Raw genomic sequence first — 13,673 nt, forward strand, 5'->3', positions numbered from 1 at the left:
GAACCTCAGTTGCCTTATCTGCAAAATGCGGAAAATAATTTAACTTACCTTTTGGGTTGTTAGGATTAAGAGTTCATATATACAAAGTTCTTAGAATATTGTCAGGCACATAACAATGGCAAACACTGACACTGCTTTCTGTGGTCAGTACTTACCTCTCCAGGCTTTCTTGTGTCCCTATCTTCTGATGTGTGAGGTACAGTCACCAACTTTCCCACCAAGGAGGGGGACACAGGATGAAAGGCAGCTGTCTTTGGGAAATAGACCTTCCCTTGTCTGTTGGTTTCGAGCAAACACATATGACAAGAAGAATAAAGTAAGGAGAGTGAAAAACTGCCAATATGGCTTTTGTTTCCACAGCTGAAAGGGTGAAGCAAGAGAATCTGAACCTCGTCTGTATTCCCACTTCCTTCCAGGTATGTCCTGCTTTCCATCTGCATCGTGACAGCTTCTGCTGTATCTTCTGGTTCCCCGGGGTTGTGGACCTATGGCCTTGTCTTGTACCTCAAGGTTGTTCTAGGTCAGAGAGTCCAGGAATAGGAGAGTTTATTGACCAAGGATTCCTTCTTGGAATTGTAGTTTTAGGTGCATTTGTTTAATCACTTGGTGAATATTTCAGTGCATGTTGAGTTTAGGCACTACGGAGAATGCAGAGATGGCCCGGTAGTCTCTCTCCTCAAGGAATATTACTCCTATTTATAGGTGAAAAAAATCAGGCTAGGCCAGGTGTGGTGGCTCATGCCTGTAATCTCAAGTACTTTGGGAGGCCAAGGTAGGCAGATCACTTGAGCACAGGAGTTCAAGACCAGCCTGGGCATTATGGTGAAAGCCTGCCTCTACAAAAAATACAAAAATTAGCTGGGTGTGGTGGCTTGTACCTGTAGTTCCAACTATGTAGGAGGCTGAGGCGGGAGGATCTCCCTTGAGCCCAGGAGGTCCAAGCTGCAGTGAGCTGTGATTGTGCCAGTGCACTCCAGCCTGGGCAACAGAGTGAGACCCTGTCTCAAGAAAAAAAAAATCAGGCTAAAAGGAATTAAGCAATGTGTTGGTAATGCAAGTACATCATAAAATAGTAGGAGCTGATGGAGGAAAGCAGTGGAGCCAGTTAAATATAGGGAGAGATAAGGGAAGAGAGGTTTTGGGAAGTGGAAGGGAAGACAGTTGCTCAGATGGAGCCAATTGTCATCCCTCATCTGGCCATTGCAGGGAGGAGTATGTGTATAATCTCTCGCTGGATTAGTCAAGATGATACTATGCACTGGGGTAGGAGATGAGATTTATGAGTGACTGATGCTCCTGGGACTTTATGGACTTAGGCTTGGATAGCTGGGTTTCTTAGGAAACCCTCCCAATCCTGGAGACACAGGATGCTGGCAGCCTGCAACCAGCTCTGGTGAAGGGAGAGAGGTTAAGGTTCCTTCTAAACCAGACTGGCCTCAGCTTAACAGTAGGGTGTAAGGCAGAGATTCCAGGTAGACAGGTTAGGGAGTTGGATAGTGCATACTGTTGGAGCTTCCTTGATGTTAAATCTCTTGGAGACCTTAAACAAGGTGGATGGCCACCCAGGGGACTGAAGGCAATATCTTAAGTGTTTTATATAGCTTTTTTTTTTTTTTTTTAAATCCTGCTTTCTTGAGGCAATGCTTTTAAAGCCTCAGTGGCTTGTGATGGATTTTCTTAGTCTTTTGAAAAGCTAAGTATCTAATTTTTCCAACTGGCTTGATCATCAAGTATTTTTATTTCTTAGTTAATAAATTACATTGGTGTTTATTTTTAAAGTTATATATGCACGTGGATTGAAGAAACAAATAATTCAAGTCTTTTTATTTAAAAGAAAAAAAAGCACACTACCCTCACTTTCCCCTAGATGACCACTACCTAGAAAGCACACTCTTATTACCTCCCACCCCTGACCTCCACTATTTCTTGCTCTTTACATGGACATACTTTTAGCTCTTTTAGGTGATTGGATATTCTAACAGCCACTATAGATTTAAGTCAAAGTTAATTTTATTCTGAGCCAAGTTTGAGGACTATAGATCAGGGACACAGACTCAGAGCAAACTGGGAGCGTGTCCCTTTCTGTTGTAATTCAGTAGGTCAGAATTAGAGGAAAGAGTATGTTGGATAAAACAGACAATAGAGGACCACCCTTACATACATTCTGTGGCTGTAGTTCAAATTGATGAGCTAACATAATTTTGGCTGGAGTTTTATTCTTTTGGTAACATTTTTGCAGTATTGATAATATTTGTAATGTAGGAATATTAGAAAGATAATCAACAATATGATGAGCAACTTAGAGGTCCACTGAAGTAAAGAAACACTTATCATAGAAAAGAATCTTGAACATAGATTTTGATAGTCTGTGACTAATTAGATAAATTTCCTCCCTTTGTATTTGTACTTTATGATATCTTTGCATTTATAACTGTAATTAGCTGATGATTTATAATGTCTAATTGCTTGTCCATTTTCTGCTGGGAGTACAATTTGAGGAGGGTTGAGTTCCAATTTTCCAATTTTTATTATCAAAAGTATTACTTCATCGTAAAAGTAACTTTCCTGTTAACCCAGTATTGTACCAAATGGCAGTATAATTTAAATCAAATGTTGTCTGGTTGCAAGTAAGATCTAAAACAGCTACAGTCTCATTTTTCCTCCCTTTCTAATGTAAGCAACCTTTTCCTATTGTGTTAGTCCATTTTCATGCTGCTGATAAAGACATACCTGAGACTGGGCAATTTACAAAAGAATGAGGTTTAATTGGACTTACAGTTCCACGTGCTGGGGAAGCCTCACAATCATGGCAGAAAGCAAGGAGGAACAAGTCTCGTTTTACGTGGATGGCAGCAGACAAAGAGAGAATGAGGAAGACACAAAAGCAACCTTGATAAAACCATCAGATCTCGTGAGACTTGCTCACTACTATGAGAACAGCGTGGAGGAAACCACGCTCATGATTCAATTATCTCCCACCAGGTCACTCCCACAACACATGGGAATTATGGGAGTACAATTCAAGATGAGCTTTGGGTGGGGACAGAATGCTGGCAGCCTGCAGCCAGCTCTGGAGCCTGCCAAATCTCATGTCCTTGCATTTCAAAACCAATTATGCCTTCCCAATAGTCCCCAAAGTCTTAGCTCATTTCAGCATTAACTCAAAAGTCCACAGTCCAAAGTCTCATCTGAGACAAGGCAAGTCACTTCAGCTTGTAAGCCTATAAAATCAAAAGCAAGCTAGTTATTTCCCAGATACACTGGGGGTACAGGTATTGGGTGAATACACTCATTCCAGATGGGAAAAATTGGCCAGAACACAGGGGCTACAGGTCCCACGCAAGTCTGAAATCCAGGATGGGCAGTCAAATCTTAAAGCGCCAAAATGATCTCCTTTGTCTCCATGTCTCACATCCAGGTCATGCTGATGCTAGAGGTGGGTGCCCATGGTCTTGGGCAGTTCCCTTCCTGTGGCTTTGCAGGGCACAGCCTTCCTCCTGGCTGCTTTCATGGGCTGGCATTGAGTGTCTGCAGCTTTTCCAGGTGCATGGTGCAAGCTGTCAGTGGATCTACCATTCTGGGGTCTGGAGGACAGTGGCCCTTTTCTCACAGCTCCACTAGGCAGTGCCCCAGTAGAGACTCTGTGCAGGGGCTCCAACCCCACATTTTCCATCCGCACTGCCCTAGCAGAAGTTCTCCATGAGAGCCCCACTCCTGCAGCAAACTTCTGCCTGGGCATCCAGGTGTTTCCATACATCTTCTGAAATCTAGACAGAGGTTCCCAAACCTCAATTCTTGACTTCTGTGCTCCTGCAGGCTCAACACCACATGGAAGCTGCCAAGGCTTGGGGCTTGCACCATCTGAAGCTACAGCCCGAGCTCTACATTGGCCCCTTTCAGCCAGGGGTGGAGTGGCTAGGACGCAGGGCATCAAGTCCCTAGGCTGCACACAGCTTGGGGACCCTGGGCCTGGCCCACAAAACCACTTTTTTCTCCTAGGCCTCCAGGTGTGTGATGGGAGGGGCTTCCATGAAGACCTCTGACATGCCCTGGTGACATTTTCCCCACTGTCTTGGGGATTAACATTTGGCTCTTCCTTACTTATTCAGATGTCTGCAGCCGGCTTGAATTTCTCCTCAGAAAATAGGATTTTCTTTTCTATCGGATTCAGGCTGCAAATTTTTCAAACTTTTATACTCTGTTTCCCTTTTAAAACTGAATGCTTTTAACAGCACCCAAGTCACCTCTCGAATGCTTTGCTGCTTAGAAATTTCTTCTGCCAGATATCTTAAATCATCTCTCTCAAGGTCAAAGTTCCACAAATCTCTGGGGCAGGGGCAAAATGCTGCCAGTCTCTTTGCTAAAACAACGAGTCACCTTTGCTCCATTTCCCAACAAGTTTTTCATCTCCATCTGGACCTTATTTTCCATATCGCTATCAGCATTTTGGGCAAGGCCATTCAACAAGTCTCCAAACTTAACCACATTTTTCTGTCTTCTGAGCCCTCCAAACTGTTCCAACCTCTGCCTGTTACCCAGTTCTAAAGTCACTTCCATATTTTCGGATATCTTCTCAGCAGCGCCTCACTCTGCTGGTACCAACATACTGTGTTAGTCTGTTTTCACGCAGCTGATAAAGACATACCTGAGACTGGGCAATTTACAAAAGAAAGAGGTTTAATTGGACTTGCAGTTCCACGTGGCTGGGGAAGCCTCACAATCATGGCGGAAGGCAGGGAGGAGCAAGTCCCATCTTACATGGATGGCAGCAAGCAGAGAATGAAGAAGATGCAAAAGCAGAAACCCCTGATAAAACCATCAGATCTCATGAGACTTATTCACTACCACAAGAAGAGTATGGAGGAAACTGCCCTCATGATTCAATTGTCTCCCACCAGGTTTCTCCCACAACACATGGGAATTATGGGAGTGCAATTCAAGATGAGATTTGGGTGGGGACACAGAGCCAAACCATATCACTTCTGTACCATATATTATATTGAGCAGGGTATAGAAATTAAGGGTCATCTCTCTCACCGCTCCCGTTCAACATAGTACTGGAAGTTCTGGCCGGGGCCATCAGGCAAGAGAAAGAAAGGGTATTCACATAGGAAGAGAGAAAGTCAAACTGTCTCTGTTTGCAGATGACATGATTCTGTATCTAGAAAACCCCATCATCTCAGCCCAAAAGCTCCTTAAGCTGATAAGCAACTTTAGCAAAGTCTCAGGATACAAAATCAATGTGCAAAAATCACAAGCATTCCTATACACCAACAATAGACAAGCAGAGAGCCAAATCATGAATGAACTCTCATTCACAATTGCTACAAAGATAATAAAATACCTAGGAATACAGCTAACAAGGAAAGTGAAGGATCTCTTCAAGGAGGACTACAAACCACTGCTTAAGGAAATGAGAGGACACAAATGGGAAAACATTCCATGCCCATGGATAGGAAGAATCAATATCATGAAAACGGCCAAATTACTGCCCAAAGTAATTTATAAATTCAATGCTATTCCCATTAAACTACCATTGACATTCTTCACATAATTAGAAAAAACTACCCTAAAATTCATATGGAACCAAAAAAGAGCCTGTATGGCCAAGACAATCCTAAGCAAAAAGAACAAAGCTGGAGGCATCACGCTACTGGACTTCAAACTATAGTAACCAAAACAATAACTAAAACAGCATGGTACTGGTACAGCAGACACACAGACCAATGGAACAGAGTAGAGATCTCAGAAATAAGACTGCACATCTACAATCATCTGATCTTCGACAAACCTGACAAAAGCGATGGGGAAAGGAATCCCTATTTAATAAATGGTGCCAGGAGAACTGGCTAACCATATGCAAAAATTGAAACTGGACCTTTTCCTTACAACTTATATGAAAATTAACTCAAGATGGATTAAGGAACTTAAATGTAAAACCCTAGAAAATGAAAAACACTATAAAAACCCTAGAAGAAAATACCATTCAGGACATAGGCACAGGCAATGATTTCATGACAAAAACATCAAAAACAATTGCAACAAAAACCAATATTGACAAATGGGATCTAATTAAAGAGCTTCTGCGCAGCAAAAGAAACTATCATCAGAGTGAACAGACAGTCTACAGAATGGGAGAAAATTTTTGCAATCTATCCATCTGACAAAGTTCTAATATCTAGAATCTACAAGGAACTTAAACAAATTTATAAGAAAAAAACAAACAGTCCTGTTAAAAAATGGGCAAAGGACATGAACAGACACTTCTCAAAAGAAGACATTTATGTGGCTAGCAAACATGAAAAAAAGCTCAACATCACTAATCATTAGAGAAATGCAAATCAAAAGTGCAATGAGATACCATCTCATGCTGGTCAGAATGGCGATTATTAAAAAGTCAAGAAACAACAGATGCTGAGGAGGCTGTGGAGACAGGAATGCTTTTACATTGTTGGTAGGAATGTAAATTAGTTCAGCCATTGTGGAAGATGGTGCGGCGATTTCTCAAAGACCTAGAGCCAGAAATATCATTTGACTCAGCAATCCCATTGCTGAGTATATACCCAAAAGAATATAAATCATTCTATTCTAAAGATACATGCACATGTATGTTCATTGCAGCACTATTCATAATATCGAAGACATGGAATCAACCCAAATGCCACCAATGATAGACTGGATGAAGAAAATATGGTACATATGCACCATAGAATACTATGCAGCCATAAAAAGGAACGATATCATGTCCTTGGCAGGGACATGGATAGAGCTGGAAGCCATTATCCTCAGCAAACTAACACAGGAACGGAAAACCAAACATTGCATGTTCTCACTTATAAGTTGGAGCTGAACAGTGAGAACACATGGAGGCAGGGAGGGGAACAACACATACTGGGGCCTGTCTGGGGGGTGTGGGGGGAGGGAGAGCATCAGGGTAAATAGCTAATGCATGCAGGGCTTAATATCTAGGTGATGGGTTGATAGATGCAGCAAACCACCATGGCACACATTTACCTATGTAACAAACCTGCACATGTATCCTGGAATTTTAAATTAAAAAAAAAAAAGAAATTAAGGGTCATATTTATATGATTTCAGGATTCCAAACATTTTGGGGACAGCACCAACTTCCTGAATTTGTTTACGATGTAGAACTGAAATTGGACTCCAAGTATTATTTAATATGGCCTTTCAACTCCCCATTGGGAAAAATGGGTATTACTTAAAAAAATCTCTATTCCTACTAACACTATGTTATATGTCTAGTTATTATCTATGTGGGGTGCTAATGCTGTAAGAGTACAGTGAATTAAGCTACATATTCTTGGTAGTAATTTTCCAGGAAGAAGAGGGTTCATATGTTTGTGCATAAATGTATACCTTGTGTTTCTGCATCCAAAATGGAGGGCACATTTTAGAGGCCACTTCAGTTTCCATTTGGATTAGCATGGTCAGTAAACCTTGTTGAGTTTGGACGCATGCAATTTTCCATCACTGGGTTTTGGCATGGCTCCTTGTTAGTTGAGTAGTTGATTTACCTTCTTAACAATAGTGTCATTATCTTTTTGTGTAGCTTCCCAACCCATACCTTCCTTCTGAAAGAATATTTCTTTTAATCTGTTTAGACTGGTAAATATTGACTTTTCTTGTGATTTTCTTTTTTTTTTGTCGTTGTTAAATACACTTTTAGCTTGTCCTAACATCTCAAGTCCTGCCTTTATTGGACCTAAGGTTCTTTTTGCTTTAGTTGGCTAGTGCTGTTTTATCCACCAAACATGTTGTTGCCATTGAGCATTTATAATGGAAGTGCAATTTGAGTACCGGTTACAAACCCAATAATGTTGGGTGCTCCAAGTTAAGGTGAGAGGAGCAGCAGTTACCCCTAGATACAGTTTAGTTTGAGTACACTGTAAGGCTTCTCACATTCTCCCTGGTAACATTCCCAAGTATCCTCTGGTGGTACTCTTGTCCACCAAGTAGCTCTCATTATTTGATTTCCAGTTTCATTAGAATTGTGTAGACCAGTCACAAAAACAAGGTCCCTGACTCCTAGGACAAGAGATGCTATGGCAAGGCACATAAGCTGCAGCTAAATGTCTTCCAGGAGTTTGTATAGTAAGTGTATAGTAAGTGATCATCTGTATTCACAGTAACATAGTGATCTATTTGTAAAGTGTTAAAAATTGCCAGACCAGGCATGGAATTGGGAAGAACTTCCTGGATATCTTTCCCTAAGTGGGGGCCTCTTGATAGTTTATTATGCCTGAAAAACTGGTGCCATGGGCTATCGGAACATTGGACTGATTCTAAGAAATTGATGTCAGGGTTCCAGTATCTTCTTGATATTGAAAAAATGTTTGTCCTACTTTCACATCAGTTAGATTAGCAGTTTCCCTTAAGAGGAATGGGGATCAAACACATGAGGGAGTGTTAGTAAAAATTCAGTCATCATGCAGGAAAATACAAAAACAAAAGATATATGCAGAAGAAATTCATTGTCAGTTCAGGCCTGGTCTGGTAATTTGGGCAATGTTGTCTATCAGGTCTTGTCTGCTTTCCATAATCAGAGGTGTCAGGAATCTCAGAAATCTTTAACTGGAGGTCTCCAGTGGACTTATAAGTTCATTTAGTTGTTGGAGCTTTCTTTAAATGAGAAATGTGAATCCAGGAGTCAGCTCCTTCAAGTTTTGCTGCACAGCAATTAGTTAACAATACCTGATAGAGTCCTTTCCAGTGAGGTTCAAGTGAGTCTTTTAGTGAGGTTCAAGTGAGTTTTTTAGTTGATGTTGTTTCCAAAAAAAAGGTCCCTTGGCTAGACATTATGGTATTTAAGATCTTCGTCTCCAAGGAGTACACCGTAAAAAGAATCTTTTATTAATTTATTTTGGGGAAAGAAGTTTAGTTAAGCCTTGACAATAACTGAGTATAGCACCTTTCAATAAAGTTGGTTCATATAAATTGCTGTCCTGTTTCATAGGTTGACTTGTAATTGTCTCGTAAGTGGGTAATTGATGTTATCCAAGAGAAGTTGCTCTTGGGTTAAGCAAAACCAATGGAAGAGCCTTTGGCCCAGTATGAAAAGCTTTTGTTAATTTTGCCAAATGGATTTTTTTTTTTTTTTTTTTTGAGACGGAGTCTCGCTCTGTCGCCCAGGCTGGAGTGCAGTGGCACGATCTTGGCTCACTGCAAGCTCCACCTCCTGGGTTCATGCCGTACTCCTGCGTCAGCCTCCTGAGTAGCTGGGACTCCAGGTACCCGCCACCATGCCTGGCTAATTTTTTGTATATTTAGTAGAGACGGGGTTTCACCCTGTTGGCCAGGATGGTCTCCATCTCTTGACCTTGTGATCCACCCGCCTGGGCCTCCCAAAGTGCTGGGGTTACAGGCGTGAGCCACCGCGCCCGGCCAGCCAGCTGGATCTTTACTATTCCGTTTATTTGTTCCACCGATCCAGAAGACTAAGGATGGTATACACAATGAAAATGTTGGAAAATGGGCCAGATTTTACAAATTGAGTGGACTGTCTTTCTAGTAAAATGAGTTCTTCTATCGCTATGTAATTTGGAAGGAGTTCCCCAAGAGGGAATTATTTGCTTCGACGATATTTTCCTCCTGCGTGTGCTATGACTCTTCTGCAAGGAAATGTTTCAACTCAGTGAGAGAACATTCAAATCATAACCAGTATCTATTTATAATCCTGGGCTGGAGGTAATTGGATAAAATCCACTTGCCAGATATCAGAAGGTCTGGTGGGCAAAGGAAAATGCCCTTGATATCCATGAAGAGGCTGTCCTGGATTATGTTTAGGACAAACTGCACATTTAGCATAAGTCTTATGAGCCAATTGTGGGTGACTGTTTCCAGTAATATTGTTTTTCTTAGGCAGTCATTTTCTGAGGTCCCTAGTGAGTGAGCTGATAGAAATGTTGTAATACAGGAAATTGAAATAAATTCCAAAGGCAAAACAAGTCTGTTGTTGAGTCCATACTATAATTTGCAAGTGGGGGAAAGGTGTGTCTCCTTTGTTAGCCATATCTGCTTTTTCTTCTCTGAACCCTTTTCTTGAGCCACTTGGAGTTGTTTTTCAATGGAACTCATTTAAAAAAAATATAGCCACCTGTATAGTTTCATCTGCTATTAGTGTTAGAGCAGCCTTTGGCTGCTGCGTCAACAAAATACTTTTTCTCTGAAGGGCTGAGTTTGGAGTGTCCAGGAATCTTAATAATAGCCCCCCTTTTTTTTCTGGAAATTCCTTAGTAGGGGCTCTAAGTTCTGCCTCGTCCTGGGGGACTAAACTACTGAAGGTTCTCCCTTTGGGTCAGGATTTTCTCTAAAAGGTGCTATCAAAACTTCTGTGGGTAGAGGAGGGAGTAAGGAACATCTGATCTGGGCAAGGCAGTTCTTTTGTTTTTTTTTGAGACAGGGTCTTGCTCTGTCACCCAGGCTGGAGTACAGTGGCATGATCACAGCTCACTGCAGCCTCGGCCTCCTGGGCTCAAGCGATCCTCCTGCCTCAGCCTCCTGAGTAGCTGGGACTACAGGTGCATGCCACCATGCCTAGCTTTTTAAAAATTTTTTGTAGAGACGATGTCTCACTATGTTGTGCAGGCTGTTCTCGAACTCCTGGGCTCAAGTGATCCACCCACCTCAGCCTCCCAAAGTGCTGAGATTACAGATGTGAGCCACTGCGCCCAGCCAAGGCAGTTCTGAAAGGAAAGAATAAGAGGGTTCTGAAGGAGCAGTTGGAGGGGAGGAGGTGAGACAGTGGAAACATGAGACGATTTTTTCAGTGGAGAAAGTTTCCAGGATCTTTTGGTTCACCTCCTGTATGGAAGCAATTTTATCATTACTTCTTTTAGAAGCTTTTAAAAACCATTGTAGTAACTATCCCATTCTTTGTGTTTAATTTTTAAGCCACTCCTCCCAGTTGTGCACGTAAATAATTCAATTTTGGGGTCTTGAATGAGCCCCATTTTGGCCAAGTTAAGCTAATTTAATTTTTAGTGATGTTGGTTCAATGAGTCAAAAAATTTATAAGATGAGGTGCTATAATTTTTAGTCACAAGCCTAGCTGGTGTCTTGGAAGATGGTAACTCTCCTTCAATAGCTTCAACTTCAGATGTCTTGTTTTAAATGTCTCTCCTCCCTTCTCCCTTGTCTGCACCAGATTAAGAATGTGTTCAGGGTCAAAAATGTGTTGCTTATGAGCTTCACTCCTCGAGCTCTTACCCCTGAGGTGGTCTGCTCACCCCTGAGCTGGTCTGCTCTCTTAGGTGTTTCAGGAGAAACTCGCCTGCTGAAGCAGTGAGGTGCCCTGAACGCTAGGCGACCAGCCTATTATGAGAGTTCCCTGGAGGAGCTATTACAACTTAAGTGTTTTCCTGTTGATGGTGAAGCTCTTTGGAACCACTACATGTCATGAGGAATCTCCTCTGACCCTTCCGCAAGATTCTTTGTCACTTAAAAATACCTGAGGTCCGGGCTGGTGGGCGCAAGCATCCTTTATATTTGGAGCAATTTTTATCTCTGTTGCTCTTATATAGAATGTAAAGGATTGGTGCAGACAAAGGAGTTTTGAAAAGAAAAACACTCAGCTAGTCAAAGAAACCACCGCAAGGTGGTCAAGCTATAGCTTGGTTTTATACGTTTTAGGGAAACATAAGACATCTGTCAGTACATGTAACATGTACTTTGGATCAGTCTAGAAAGGTGGGACAACTTGAAGCTCCAGGGCAGAGTTGGGACTTCCAGGTCATAGCTGCATTCAAAGATTTTCTGACTGGCAATTGGTTGAAATAATTATTATCTACAGACCTGGAATCAATAGAAGGGAATGTTTGGGTGAAGATAAGGGGTTATGGAGACCAAGGTTCTTATTTATGCAGATGAAGCTTTTAGGTAGCAGGTGTCAGAATAGATTGTAAATGTTTCTTATCAGACTTAAAAAGTGCCAGAGTCTTAATTAATTCTCCCCTGGGTCAAGGAAAAGACCTGGAAAGGGAAGGGGATTCTTTACAGAATGTAGATTTTTTTCCCTACAAGAGACAGCTTTACTGGGCTATTTCAAAATATGTCAAAGAAATACATTTTAGGGTAAAATACAGTTTCTTTCAGGACCTGCTGTCATGTGATTCTATACTAGGATCAGGTTGGAATTTGGTGTCTTATTGCTACAAATAGTTTGTTTTGTTCATCTTAAGATCTGTTTTAGCTGGGAGTGGTGGCTCATGCCAGTAATCTTAACACTTTGGGAGGCTGAGGTGTGAGGATTGCTTGAGCTCAGTTCGAGACCAGCCTGAGCAACATAGTGAGACCCTATTTCTAAAAAAAGATTAAGAACAAAAATCTGTTTTAATGTTAATGCTTGTCAGTTGTGCCTGAATTCCAAAGGGAAGATGGTATAATGAGGCATATCTGACTCCCCTTTCCCATCATGACCTGAACTTGATTTTCAGGTTTTCTTTGGAATGCACCTGGCTGAGAGTAGAGGTCCATCAGTCAGTTGGGAGGCATAGAATTTTGTTTTTGGTTTACAATGAATATAGGGTAAAAAGTTAACCAGTATGCAGGTGTCTCAGGATCTGGAGAGAAATGATTGATTTTCTCCTGCATTTGTGCTTCATCTGATAGGCAAGAAGGTTACAATCAGCACATGTTAGTGAAATGTTTGGCAAATTCCAGCCTTGCAAGTGAGAGTTCATCTTTAATTCATAGGCCTAGTTTCTTTTACCTGTGTGTTCAACCTGCAGCTATCTTGAGCTGCTTTTAAAATTCTTTCAGATTTTCTTTTTCTGACAACTTTAGGTAATTGTAATTCTGAATGGATAAATGGAAGATGAACATTTGCTTATTCTTTACCTTGCTCTCACAGTTCACCCTCCCTCTCCTCTCCTAATTGTCCCAGTACAGTTACTTTTTAGTTAGGTTTTACTTGTTTTTTACAGAATTGTAACTGTGCAAGAACCACACAGTGTGTTATGTATGATTACTTTTCCTTGCCTGCCCAATATTTTGTTTTCCCCAAAGTGGTGAAATCTGTTTTTTCCAGCACAGTGGGTATCCCACTTCATCAATTTCATCTGCTTTGTGAAGGCTGTTTGGGTCATCCGGGATGGTCAACTGTAAGCCGCTATACTTGGCTGCACTCTTGGGGTCTCCCTTCACAGTCAGGAAATTTCCTTCTCTTTTCTCTTGTTTTGGGTTGCCCTTGCTTCTTCTTCTTCTTCTTTTCTTTTTTTAGACGGTGTCTTGCTGTTGTCATCCAGGCTGGAGTGCAATGGCATGATCTCACCTCACTGCAACCTCCGCCTCCCGTGTTCAAGTGATTCTCCTGCCTCAGCCTCCCAAGTAGCTGGGAGTACAGGTGCCCGCCACCACGCCCAGCTGATTTTTTTGTATTTTTAGTAGAGACGAGGTTTCACTATGTTGGCCATGACGTTTTGGATGTCTGAATATATATATATATATATATATTTTTTTTTTTTTTTTCAAGCTACGAGTAGGCCTTTTTTTTTTTTTTTTTTTTTTTTTGAGACAGTGTCTTCTCACTGTCACCCACGCTGGAGTGCAGTGGTGCAATCTCAGTTCACTGCAGCCTTGACCCCTTGGCCTCTAGCCATCCTCCCACCTCAGCCTCCTGAATAGCTGGAATACAAATGTGTGCCTCCACACCT

At 41.6% G+C, this 13,673-nt stretch overlaps 1 protein-coding gene across 2 annotated transcripts in view; it reads left to right on the forward strand.

Moving 5' to 3' along the window:
• Window positions 1–13,673, forward strand: part of RPIA (ribose 5-phosphate isomerase A) — a 59,257-nt gene that overhangs the window by 7,976 nt on the left and 37,608 nt on the right. For both annotated transcript variants that reach the window (NM_144563.3, XM_047443733.1), the window contains exon 3: window positions 361–416. In NM_144563.3, coding sequence (NP_653164.2) covers window positions 361–416 — 56 coding nt within the window. The remainder of the gene's footprint in view (window positions 1–360; window positions 417–13,673) is intronic.

This window comes from Homo sapiens, chromosome 2 (genome assembly GCF_000001405.40).
Source record: "Homo sapiens chromosome 2, GRCh38.p14 Primary Assembly".
In the NCBI taxonomy this organism is placed as follows: Eukaryota; Metazoa; Chordata; class Mammalia; order Primates; family Hominidae; genus Homo; species Homo sapiens.